The sequence below is a fragment of the Homo sapiens genome, chromosome 1 (assembly GCF_000001405.40).
Source record: "Homo sapiens chromosome 1, GRCh38.p14 Primary Assembly".
Classification (NCBI taxonomy): domain Eukaryota; kingdom Metazoa; phylum Chordata; class Mammalia; order Primates; family Hominidae; genus Homo; species Homo sapiens.
In genome coordinates, this window is record NC_000001.11 from 173184588 (window position 1) to 173198414 (window position 13827).

Genomic DNA, 13827 nt, shown 5'->3' on the forward strand with positions numbered 1-13827 from the left:
ATGAACCATGCATTTTCTTAAATATTACCTATAGTCATAAACGTTTACTTTTTCGGATATCACTCACTGAGTAACTGCAATTTTGCAGAACATGGTCAATAACAAAAAGTGAAATACACACACACACACACACACAAACACACACACAATCTTCTGAGTAGTGAAGCCAGATATCATTGAATATCTGTCTCAGAATGATTCTTGTAAATGTAAGTATTTAGCCCAGTGCCTGGTCCACAGTAGGCCCTCCATAAATATTTAGCCATGATTATGATTCTGTGAGTGCCTTGGCAGCCACTCAGAACTTGATTCCTCTTACCTTACCTACAATTTCTTCTATTTAGCATTTTTATTTACCTTCCTTCATAACAGATTAAAATAGAGGGATGGGAATATAGTTGAAGGTGTACTTAAGAGGAAATAGAAAACAGGAAAAAAAAATCCAACTGAGACCATTTAGTGTAAGGGCGAACAGCCCTCCACCTTTCTGGAGATTCTAGAGATAATTGTAGCACAGTACAATTCCTTGATAACACAGAATCATCCAGAAAGATTCTGTGATGTTGTATCCTCTATTGAAAATGTCAGGGAAACATGTGCTACAATTTTAAAATACATATCTCAAAAATTTATGTTTATAAAAGGTTTGGCACAGAGAAGTTACAAATCATCTGGAAAGTTGACATGAAAAATCAGATTGTCCACAGCGCCATAAGCATAACACATTATATCAAGTTAAGGGGACATTTCAACTAAACATAAGGGGATACTATTCCATTGAAGCCCTGGCATAGGCTGATTATAGACCCTTCTAGTTTCAATTATCAATGTGAGACTATATATGGTCTATGGTATTTCTAGACAGAGATCATTATTTTTCATAAGGCACAATAACTTCTTAGTGCTATTTGACATCAGATTGAATTTGATAATAGGATCACCTCATTTCTTGAAACCAGCAATGTTTCTGTGTGTACAAGACATGGAGCTGAGTGCGTATCTCAGCATAGGCAGGAGGATGAGCATGTGTTGCTTTGCCTGTCTGTGGCAAAGAATGTGTTTTCCTCCCCAGGCTATTAAAATCCGTACTGACTTTTACCCTGAGATGTCCAGTTCCCTGCTATCCTGTACAGTAAAGCTAACCCTTCACAATAAGTTATCTCACTCTCCCTGTATACAAGAAAATCTCTCTTAAGTCACTGATTAGATTTTTCAAAGCATCACATCCCCAGACAGTTCTTTGAAGGGAAATTTCTATTAACTATGTTTGGAGGCTGGGAAAGCAAAATGGTAAAGAAAAAAAGCACGTGGTATTTCTTAGACGGCTCTCTTCAAGTCCTGATTTTTCACAAGCTGATTCTTCTTTTGAACCCCCACCAAATGAGAAAGTTTAAATTTAGGCAATATGCAAACTGCAATCAATTTAACCTTGGAGAGGCCGCTTTGGCTTCCAGGGGTTGGTTCATACCACCTTTGGCAGATTCATAACCCCACTCCTTCACTCCTTGCTCCTCTTCATTTTGATAATGCCACACACATGTCAAATTTCCAGCAAATGGTAGTCAGGTACCGTTTTCAATGACATAAGTTTATTATGACAATTGCCTGACCAATAGAAACAATGCATCTTGAAGAAGAGGCATCTATTTTTTCTTTCTCACAAAGGTGCCTAGTAGGCTCAAGGCAATCTTGGGGTGTGACGGCTAGGCAATTTAGAAAATATAAGGATAAATAAGATTAACTGGTATATAAAATAAGTTTTAAATATCCCTGAGGGGTGGGGGCGGGAGGGCCAGGATCTGCTTCTTGTCACATCCCACGTGGCTGAGCTGGGAGGCTCCTTCACTTGCAATGAAGAATCCATGCCCTGTCCACCCCCAGCTTGGTGTTCATGCTGGTGCCTGGTTTTAGATATTGCCATCAGCCCCTCAAAGGACACAGAATTCACCAGGATTTTGATGGATAAGAATCAGTTCTCCGCCATTCACATGGAAGTCATCCAGGGAGGTATTGTCAGTGGTCACATTCAAGTAGACTTTGTCTTTGTAAGTCAGAGAGGCCACCATCAAGGAGTTGACAGACCTGACCTTCTTCAGTTGGAAGAGGGGCTCCTCATCCTTCTGGTAATGAAGGCTAATGTTGACTTCCTGGGAGAAGTAGCCCTTCAGGGAGATGAGATAAAACCCATCACAGTTGATGATGACTGAGTTGTTCTGCACCTTCATGATTTCATCCTCCTTTTGGGAAGTGAGGATGAAACCTTTCTCCTTCTTATATTCTAGGGAGGATAGGGGAAAATTTGTTTAATTAATTCCTAAGCATAGAATTGGGCAACAACCTTCCAATACATCTGGAATCAGATGAAGAGAAAGTGATAGGGAGAGATTTTGAAAAGAGTAAAAGCAGTGAGCCAAGATCCCGCCACTGCACTCCAGCCTGGGTAACAGAGTAAGACTCTGTCTCAAACAAAAAAAAAAAAGAAAAAGGAGTAAAAGCAAGAGAGCACTGTGTTTCTACCTGCAGGGTGGAAACTGCTTTACCTGTGGAATGGAAGAAGAGGCAATGTTAACACTAATGCCCAACAGAGTCTCAGATGGGGCTGAGATTCAGGAGCTGAGAGATTACAGAAATTGTCACAAAGCACCTATAGCAGGACAGGTGGTTTCAGGGTTTCCCCAATTTTTCAGAACAAGGATGGATTGGCAACTTCAGTGCCTCCTTTCTTGCTCAGTGGATGAACTATGGGCAAAGGGTGGCAGTGGTGCCCCATGCCTTAGCCCTGCACACTACCCATACTCTGAAGCTTGACTTAAAGCAATTGTTTTCAACTCTTGCCTTTCTGTCATCTGACCATGAAATGCAAATTTTCCACATGCCCCAGGCATTGGACCTATCCACAGCAGTTACTAGTGGCCTTTGTTAGCGGTCACTTAAGTTTAATAATGCAGCTGTGCACACCGTATCTGTGGATTCAGGGTGGGCTCTCAAAGCTGCAGGTGGAAGAGCTCAAGGGCATATACTTGCTTCTCTTCTCTACCTCCTGTTGCTAGTTTTTCCCGGAAGGTACTTTGGGAAGAGTCACTGCCACAGGAGAAAGAAAAGGAGGAAGTGGAGTAGGAGGCAGTGATAGACTTGGTTGTTTTGTGCAGGGCCATCCCAAGTGCAAGCCAAAAAGCCTGAACTTCTTTTATTTCCTTATTAGCATTAAAATCATCCTGAATAGCCAAGTAACCACATCTTGGACACACCCTGTTCTGGCCCATGTTCCTTTGTTAGGCAAAAGAATAGGTCCCCACCGCTAGCCACAATTCAGTAATTCTTGCTTTGTACCAGTCCAGAGGGACATACTTTTGAACTGAAAAAGAGGACCACTTATGGAGGACAAGAAATACTTCCCTTCCCTCAGGCTCAGGAGAACTTAACTAAAAAATGAATATTCGTGTGGAAACCACTAGGGGTTGTGCTAGCACTAATCATGGACCCAAACAATCCTCTCTCTGGAGTCGAAGTTTTTATTCTATCAAGGGCTTCCCCCAACTTTCATTAAGGTAAACTCTTGCCCCAGAATACAATTAGCAGGCAATAATGTGTCTTATAGTCAGACAGACTTGTAAGAAGTAAAGCCTTAGTTTCCCTAACTAAGAAATGGAAATAATTTCTACCCAGAAGGTTCCTTGGAGGATTAAATGAGGAACATAAAGTGATTAGTACAGAGACAAGCACATATTTGATGAATAATTAATCCCCTTTTCTCTTTATACATCTGTATCCCTAATGAAAATAATATGCAGGCTACAACAATTCTGGGATTTAATTGGAATTTAATTCCTTCCCTTAGGAAAAGAAGAGATCTTGTGTTCTAGAGGAAATTAAGAGACTGAAGAGAAGATTCTTTCAAAAATATGAATCAATTAAACTTTTGACAATACTTACCGGTAAATTGTACTTTGATACTTTGAATTCGAGGATACCGATGTGATACCTGAGGGAGGAAGAAAGACATATTCTTAGGAAAAAAACATGAACAAATGAAATTCGCAAGTCATATTTAATGGAACAGTGAAGCAGAAATGCAGTAGCCTGTAGAGAAAACAAAAACAACAGAAGACTTGACTTTTTTGTTGTTGTTGTTGTTGTTGTTTTGAGTCAGGGTCTCACTCTGACACCCAGGCTGGAGTGCAGTGACACAATCACGGCTCCCTGCAGCCTCCGCCTCCCTGGGCTCAGTGATTCCCCCACCTCAGCCTCCTGAGTAGCTGGGACTATAGGCACGCACCACCACACCTGATTAATTTTTGTTTTTTGGGGTTTTTGAGGGGGTAGAGATGGGGTTCTGCCATATTGCCCAGGCTGGTCTCAAACTCTTGACCTCAAGCAATCCTCTCACCCAGCCTCCCAAAGTGCTGGGATTACAGGCATGAGTCGCCATGCCCGGCCCTGACTTTTTCTATGAAGATTGGACCTAGACTTCCACCTTCCCCCTTGCTTTTCCATAATATCTCTTAAGATAAATTAGGACTATTGTGCTCCTTCATGCAAGCGTCTGAGATCTGTCCGCATTTCTGCCAAACTCTTCTTTGGTATACTGTTTTGTCTCACTGTGCCCCAATTTCCCATTTTGGATAACGTAGCACTATAGTCATATTGTTAAGAAACCTATTCAGTCATAGAGATTCCCTCATGGAGAATGCTGGTTCAATCAATCCATCATGGCCACAGACTCCCAGAATGCACTGGGAGGGAGTTCTGGAAGCTTCCTGCATGTCTGGTCTTTCACTTTAACGCAGGAGTAAAAGCATCCTATTTTCAGGGGACAAAGGCAATAAAAACTGTCCCAATCCTACAGAGCTCAATATATTTGGTGTAGCTTTTTTAAACATTGGATCTTTCTCTTCAACAGCTTTAAAAACCTAACTTGAATTAAGTCAGTATTCAATTGCTAAAAGAGAAGTAAAACAGTGAAGACAGGAAACCTGATAGATAAAACTTTTACAGTACTTTTGTGGTTAAAAGAACAAATAAGCTCAATATGGAACCAACTCCGAGATCTCTTAAGTAAAAAAAAGTTGGGGGGGGTGCAGAATTATACATAAAATATATTGCCATTTGTGTTAAATAATAATAATAACACCTGTGTGGGCATTGAAAGAATATACAATACATTAATGTATCTGAAAGAATACACAAGACACTAGTTGCAAATGTTGTCCCTGGAGAAAAAAATTGGAAGCCTGAGGTCAGGAGTAGGATTGACCTCTACTTTTCATGGTCTAATTTTTTAAAAAGTTTTGTGCCATTTGTTTGTCTTATCTACTAAAAAAGAAAGTAGAAAAAAATGTCTGCTGGGCACGGTGGCTCATGCCTGTAATCCCAGCACTTTGGGAGGCTGAGGCAGGCAGATCAGCTGAGGTCAGGAGTTCGAGATCAGCCTGGCCAACATGGTGAAACCCCATCTCTGCTTAAAAAAAAAAAAAAAAAATTATCCAGGCATGGTGGCACATGCCTGTAATCCCAGCTTCTTGGGAGGTTGAGGCAGGAGAATCACTGAAACCTGGGAGGGGGCCAAGATCGCCCCACTACGCTCCATCCTGAGGGACATAGGGAGACTCCATCTCAAAAAAATAAAAGCCTATTATGCCTGCCAAGAACAACGGCTCTTCCCACAAGCTTATTTTGGCATGACGTCCTAATCAAAAATGTGAAGACGGATTTGTTTTTATGCCCTGGGTAGGGGAATTCCTGTTTCCCACTCTCCTGGCACACTGGTAGCTTCAGTCAAGCATATTCCATTGGCACCTGCCCACACAGACGAGGAATTCCCTACTTCTATTACAAGTATAATCACAAGCCTTACCAGCTAAAACCAACAGGCAGCATAGGAAGAATGGAGAGTCATTCTGAGCCCTGCCAGGGACTGGGCTGCAGGAACAATATGAGTTCAATGTGCTGAGCACATGGAGAGAGGCACTGACTTGGGTAGAAGCAGGAGTCTTTAGCTCTCCCCCTTCTCTGTACTCTTCGTGGTGTGATAGCTAATTAGTGCCCTTCGTGCTTAAGGGCAATGCTCTGGAAGAAAACCTGTCAGAAGGCAAATGACCCAATGACCATAGTTTCCTGGGTAAATAAATGTTTCCACTGCTCTCTGGGCTAAGTGCCAGCATGAATTGCCACGTGCTAAAGTTAGAAAGAAGCCCTCTGTGGAGTAGCACAAACAGCACAGGCCTCAGCGTGCAGTGACAGAGTGCTAATGCCAGGCAGGCAGGCACTGTGCCAACTTAAGCAAGTTTCATAATCTCCTTAGATGGCAGTTTCTCATCTTTAAAAGTCACTAGAAGATCAGGGGCATTCCTTTCAGCACTAGCTTTCCATGATTTAGATTTTAGAAGTTGTGACTTTAAGTTTAATTTAATAAAAGAGAAAAAAACATAAAGCTTCCTCATTCCCAAATTTACTTTCACTCCCTGATCTAAAAGCCCTTGTGATTTGATTATTTTGACTGACTTTGCAAAGATCTCCAAAAATATCCTGCAACTTAAGGAATGTTCCAACTTTTTGAGGTGCCCTGATGAAGTAAGGGTGGCAGTGACCAAACAGACATTCTCTGGGACGATGATGCTGACAGGCAGTGAGTGAGTAAAGCACATGTGACTTCCTCCGTGTTGGAGTCTAGACTTCCAGTAGATCAACCTGGAGGAAGCTGACCTACTGGAACTCCAGACTCAGGTATCCTGTTCCTTCTCCTGAAGGTCACATAGGGGTAGAAGTTTGCATATCCTCAGAAGTCTCTTACTAACATCAAGTTTAGGCAATGTTGTGAAGTAGAAAAAGATGGTCCTTCTTCTTATTTGTTGGCCTTCCAACCATCTTCCCCCTCATCCTCCATACCTGATGACCTCATGCTGACTACCCCAGTGCCCAGAGACACCCCCACAGTGCCCAAGTCAAAGCTCTGAAGAGCCTGGCTCCAACCTCATTGTCAAGCTTTATTGCCACATATATCCTTTCTGTGTCTAATGATCCAGCCAACTATTTGTTCTGATCTCCTTGCACTTGGGTAGGCAGCCTGGTAGGATGGCACAAAGAGCATAGACTTTGGAGTCAGATTTAGTTCAAACTGTGACTTCTCTGGTTCTTTGAATTTGGAAAAGTTATAGCATTTCTTCGCTTTAGCCTTTATACATGTGAAAATAAGACATAATACTGTGAGCGGAACTTTCCAGAAGATGAACACCAAGTTTAGATAGGATAACTTAAAGCATCCAGCAGTTTGCCAGCACATGGTACGTGGTAAGCATTTTAAAAATGTAGGCCAGATGCAGTGGCTGACGCTTGTAATCCCAGCACTTTGGGAGGCCGAGGCAGGCAGATCACATGAGATCAGGAGTTTGAGACCAGCCTGGCCAACATGGCAAAAGCCTGTCTCTACAAAAAATACAAAAATTAGCAAGGCGTGGTGGTATGCACCTGTAATCTTAGCCACTGGGGAGGCTGAAGCACAAGAATCGCTTGAACCCAGGAGACAGAGGTTGCAGTGAGCCAAGATCACACCACTGCCTCCAGCATGTCCCTCCATCTGTCTCTGCCCATTAAAATCTTACCATCTTCAAGGCCTAAATCAAATCCTTGAGTTTCAGTCTCTGTATTCCCATACAAGTATTTAAAGTCACTCATTCACAAAGATGTTTATAGCAGCTTTGTTCATAATTGTCAAAACTTGGAAGCAGCCAAAACGTCCTTCAGTAGGTGAATGGATAAATAAACTGATACAACCATACAATGGAACATTATGCAGCACTAAAAAGAAATGAACTATCAAGCTATGAAAAGACATGGAGGAATATTAAATGCATATTATTATACAAGAGAAGCCAATCTGAAAACGGTATATACTGAATGACCTAACTATATGACATTCTGGAAAAAGCAAAACTATGGAGATTAAAAAGATCAGTGGGTGCCAGGGGTTAGGAATGGGGGAGGAATAAACAGGTAGAGCACAGGGTGTTTTTAGGGTAGTGAAAGCATCCTGTATGATTCTGTAATGGTGAATACATGTCATTATATACACTTGTCAAAACCCACAGAATGTACAGTTAACCCCAACATTAAAAAACACTCTATTGACTGATTATACTGCCAGTGAATACAAGTCTTATCTCCTCTACTCAAGACTACTTAGCTGTGTGACCTTGGGAAAATTGCATTTATCTTGCTGATTTTGTTCCTTAATCTGTAAAATGGAGATAGTAAAAATCTGTATATCAGAGAGTTGTAAAGTTTGAATGAAATAATATATGTCAGTGATCAGGACCTGTCATGGAACATTGCAAGAAGTTAATAAACATCAGCAATTATTCTTGGATGCACACGGAAAACAATATCCATGTCATGTTCATAATTTATTCTACATAATACTATATAAACTATATGACAACAGAATGAAGGAATGGATTAAAGAAAAAAACAAAGACTAACAAAGTTATCATATCAGTGCTCTGACTCCCTGTACCTCAGAGAAACAATACAAAAGAATTTGGGTTTCATGAGAAAGGTTGACAGAAAACAATCAGAAGACATTTGGTCTACCCCCACACATAGACTTAGTGTTTTGTATATCAAGAAAAGCAAAATCCCCAGATCTTCTCCACATACTCAAAGAAAATAGAAAATATCAAAGGGCCAGGGGGCTTCCATCTAAGCACAGTCTATAGACTAAAGCTTCTTCAATCTGGAAGGTCTGAAGAGTCCACACCATACTCAAGGATGAAATGCAAATGCTCCTAAGTATCCATGCCAGAATTGAAGTATAGCCGTGAATTTTGAATGTAATGGTCTTAGAAGCATGAAAAAAATGCAAAAGAAGTCATATTTTAGTTGAACATTATATTTTGCATATGAAGAAATTAAGGCTCACAGAAGTGAAGAGATTTGATGCATGCCCTTCAATTTCAGTAATTTTTATTATACCACACAAGTACTATTTTTCTCCCACGCGAATTTGAAGAAAAAAATTCTATGAAGATTTTAATATTCCATTCCTTATGTCCACTTTAATAGCAAGCTTAGAGAAAAGAAGAAGTTGCCGTACAGATGATTGGCAATGACCTCATCATGAGAAAGAAAAGGGAGAGCCCACACTCCAGGCTTCCCTCTTGGGTTTCAGGGCTCCCATAAGTGAAGCAAAAAAAAAAAAAAAAAGGAACAATCAAGTACCCACTTGGCAAATATGGGCTCTTTGACCAAATGACTGAATAATGTAATGTACAAGCGTCATGTCTGGCAGCAGCTGATAATGCAACAGGAAGGTTACCAGCCCAGTGGTTCTTAAACTCTAAATGTGCATTAGAATCACCACCAAAATATGTTGTTGTTGTTGTTTTAAGTGCAGATGGTCAGATTATTCACAAAGACTCTAATTCAAAAGGTCTGGGTAGATCAAGGAATCTTCATTTTTACAAGTAACCAAGGTTCAGATTTAAAAATCACTGCTGTTAACTATGAACTTCCAAAAGTCTAAATCCAGAGAATTTATCTTCAACCACACCCTGTGCAAAAAGCATGCCTGTCCAAAAGCTGGTGCTCAAGAAATTTTTTCTCTGCTGTAAGTGTTATTCAGTAGTTGAATGAATAGTATGGTTGTCATATTATTTGGTAGTTTGGTTAAAAATAACATCAGCAATTATTGAGTACTTGCTATGCAGCAGTTATTACACTCAACTCTTGGAACACAAGGAGATAGAACATACAATCCTTACTTTTGATGAACTTCTATGCCAGTTGGGAAAATAGTCCCTGTACATAAAACCTTTAGTAAATACCTACAGGCAATGTAAGTCATAACATTTCAAAGAACAGAAAAATCACTGTAGGCTTTGACAGCACAAGGAGGAAAGACCTGGACTTAGGCCTTGAAAGACAGAGAAGAGCTGGATGAGCAAAAGACATTCTATAATTATTAATAGTTGGAAGAAAAGTCTAGAAATGAGGCCATCCTTTGTGCATTCAAGAAAAAGGGCCTGGTGCGGTAGCTCACACCTGTAATCCCAGCACTTTGGGAGGTCAAAGCAGGCCGATCACTTGCACTCAGGAGTCCAGGACCAGCCTGGACAACATGGTGAAACCCTATTTCTACAAAAAAATAAAAAAATAATAAAAAAAATAGCTGGACATGGTGGTACACCTCTGTGGTCCCAACTGCTTGGGAAGCTAAGGTGGGAGGATCGCTTGAGCCCAGGAGATTGAGGCTGCAGGGAGCCACAATCATGCCACTGCATGACAGAGAGAACTTGTCTCAAAAAAAAAAAAAAAAAAAGGCAAAGAATAAATAAAACCTTATTGAGTACTTACAATATGCTATGCACTGTTTCAAATGTATTATCCCATTTGCTGCTCAAAATAACATTGTGATGTAGAAAGAATAACTACCCATATTTTACAGATAGGGAAATAAAAATTAGTGCTGCTAAGAACTTGGTCGGGAATAAATATTTATTCATTTGAGTTCAGGTGAATCCCAAGTTCATGATAACATCCCTTCTCTTTATCCTACACTATCATAAGAGTAAATAACACCAAAAAAAAGCATTTATCTGAGGGTCCTAAATTAACTTGAATTGTTTTCATCATCAATACTGAATAAGATTAAATATTAATTTTTGAATAGTTGTCAAAATACACAGATATACATCAAAATATCCAGAAACCCTGCTCTAGAAAGAGCTCCTCAACCAATGTTGCAGGGTTGCCTATGTAGTTCAGGTTGCCAGAATTATTAGCTCAGCTCTGATTAGGTAAAACTGTCCTGGCAAGGAACTGCAGGCCCATGGACAAGTACAAAGCAGGCTCCCCATGCAGGTGTAGCAAAGAAGAGTCAGAATTAGGTTCTTTCTTGGCCTCCTTCAGTGCTTTTAGCACTGGGCTGTCCAAAAACAAAGGTGGAAAGTGTCTGATATCTGGCATTTATTCAGCAGGCTGTGCTGTGTTCCCAAGAAAGTGACACTTGTTTCAAGAGCTCATCTTTGGAGAGTGTGTACCTCTAATTCTGACTCACTAGGATGTGGTATGGGGCTGTCGACCTTAAACCCATTTGACATTTGTCCTGGTGAAGGGTATCTGTGGCAGGAGCAAATGATACTCACCAAGCATGAAACCAGGAAGTGGGCTCTGCACTCACTATACCGGCCTTGCCATTCCTTGCTTGGTACAAGGCCACAATGTCAAGGCCTTGGTGGTGGGCAGCAGTGGGACGTGGGCTAGTAGAGGGTGGTAGTAGTGGGCTAGTAGAGGGAAACACATCTGGAGTGGGGACTCCCCAGTTCACCAAACCACTGCCACTGGACGTGAACCTCTCCTCCCCGCACCTTGGGCTTCATGCCAACCAGTGGAGATCTGAGAGATCATGAAAGCATGACCTCACAAGCTCTCAGGGTGTGTCTCAAGGGGCCTCAGAAGAGAAAGGGAGAATTTTTCACTCTTAGCCACCACAGTAGACTGAGAGGATAGATCCTTATCTGACAGACATGGTCTATTCTCAGTGGAAGCAGCCCCCTTACAAAAAGATGAGCCCTGACTTCTGATCACGGAAGTTCAGAATTCCACCTAGAGAGAGGAGTAGGAAAAATGGGAAAAACTGATTCTTTGGTGAAGGAGTTTCTCATATTCAGAAAGACTTATCCCAAAAGTTACATTTCTTAGAGACAAAGATGTGTGGCTTTGAAAACCTTGTTGGATAACGAGTTTATTGGGACTTAATGAACACAAAGAAAAGCCATTTTAACTGCCATCCAAAGCCTTCTCTTTCTCCATGCCAAACCCTTACCATCTCTGCCAGCATATTTTCCCAGTCATCTCTCTCTTAACCTCCACCTTCCTCCCCACTGTATATCCTGCGTGATATCCTCATAGCCACCTCTCTCTCTAACCACTTCCACTCTTCTCATCGAGTCTACTAAGTAACGGCTATGAGTTTTCCCGCAGAGAAGCCTCTCTCCTCTCTGTTTCAGAGAGAGCATGAACTGTGGTTTTATTGTCCCTAATACAATTAGCAACTGACAGATTCCCAAGAGAAATGTCCTATATTTAGGTAAACAATCAAATCAACCAAAAGTATCCATGTGACATGAAATCTATGTGATTGACCTAATGCACCAACTCTTCATATCGTCAGAGGGAAGATTTTCTTGTATCTTGGTTTCCCTTCCCACATACAACTGAGGAAGCACTCAAAGTACACTGACAGAGGGATTTACTAAAACATTTCTGAGAACTCCTGTCCCCACCTCAATGATTGGTTAAGTCTCTACTGTAATATTCTCAGATCAGCTTAGTCTCTAAGCTACTGGAAGGGTAGGTTTACAAGGTACCCACTGCCTTGCCATACCTCCTACCATGTCTCAAACATAATGGCACTTAGTAAATAAATGTTGAACTAAGGTGGAACTTAGCCCCTCAGGACATCCCTGGACCTTCATCAGCTACAAGATCATGTAATATCTAACACTGGCTCTAGTCAACACTATACATTGCTCAAGGTTTTAGAAATTGGCCTATTCTAGTCAGAATGGCCATTATTAAAAAGTCAAGAAGCAACAGATGCTGGTGAGGTTGGAGAGAAAAAGGAACACTTTTACACTGTTGGTGGGAATGTAAATTAGTTCAACCATTGTAGAGGACTGTGGAAGACAGTGTGGCAATTCCCCAAAGATCTAAAAGCAGAAACACCATTTGACCCAGCAACCCCATTACTGGGTATATACCCAAAGGAATATAAATCATTCTATTACAAAGGTACATGCACACATATGTTCATTGCAGCACTATTCACAATAACAAAGACATGGAATCAACCCAAATGCCCATCAGTGATAGACTGGAGAAAGAAAATGTGGTACATATACACCATGGAATGGAATACTGTGCAGCCATCAAAAGGAACAAGATCATGTCCTTGGCAGGGACGTGGATGGATCTAGAAGCCATTATCCTCAGCAAACTAACACAGGAACAGAAAAACACCGCATGTTCTCACTTATAAGTGGGAGCTGAACAATGAGAACACATGGACATGTGGGAGAACAACACTGGCGCCTGTTGCAGGGGCAAGGGGAGGGAGGGCATCAGGAAAAATAGCTAATGGATGCTGAGCTTAACACCTAGGTGATGGTTTGATCTGTGCAGCAAGCCACCATGGCACACGTTTACCTATGTAACAAACCTGCACATCCTGCACATGTACCCTGGAACTTAAAATAAAAGTTAAAGAAAAAAAAAAGAAAAGAAAGTCAATTGACCATAAATGTGCAGCTTTAGTTTTGGATTCTAAATTCCAAACGTTGATCTGTCTATTCTTATGCCAGTACCAAATCAAATTATATAAGAACTCTTTTCAGTCACGGTGCACATTACCAGTTGCATATTGTCATAATAAAAGTTCAATGTAGAGAAGAAAAAAAAAGAAATTGGCCCATTCATCCTTGAATACAAAGACAGTAGCAGAATTACTGCAGTCAGTCTCTTTATTTGAAATCACTCATTCCCTTATCTGATTTGCTATATAACAAGGAGGGAATATAGTCTTGAGAAGGCAACCTGGTAGACTGAACAAGACATTGCACTGGGACTAGGCACACCTGAGTTCTTCTCCCGGACCAGAAAATGTTCTTTCCCTTCCTCAGCTTCTAATATTCTCATTTCAATGTCTAAACTCAATTTAGATTATTGGAATAAAGTGTCTAATGAAAAATTTCCATTTCAAAGATTAGGCAAATCACAATATTCAAAAGCGAGATAGATTTCAAAGGATTGTGTGATAAGAAGACCTTCTGAACA

At 40.9% G+C, this 13827-nt stretch overlaps 1 protein-coding gene across 7 annotated transcripts in view; it reads right to left on the minus strand.

Annotated features, from left to right (window-relative positions):
• Positions 1 to 13827, minus strand: part of TNFSF4 (TNF superfamily member 4) — a 277864-nt gene that overhangs the window by 11718 nt on the left and 252319 nt on the right. For 6 of the 7 annotated variants that reach the window (XM_047429896.1, XM_047429902.1, XM_011509964.3 and 3 more), the window contains 2 exons: positions 3934 to 3982; positions 1 to 2278 (listed from right to left, as the gene is read on the minus strand). The exon at positions 1 to 2278 is cut by the window's left edge and continues 857 nt beyond it. In XM_047429896.1, coding sequence (XP_047285852.1) covers positions 1929 to 2278; positions 3934 to 3982 — 399 coding nt within the window. In that variant the 3' untranslated portion in view covers positions 1 to 1928. The remainder of the gene's footprint in view (positions 2279 to 3933; positions 3983 to 13827) is intronic. The other variant, XM_047429908.1, reaches the window with a different exon arrangement.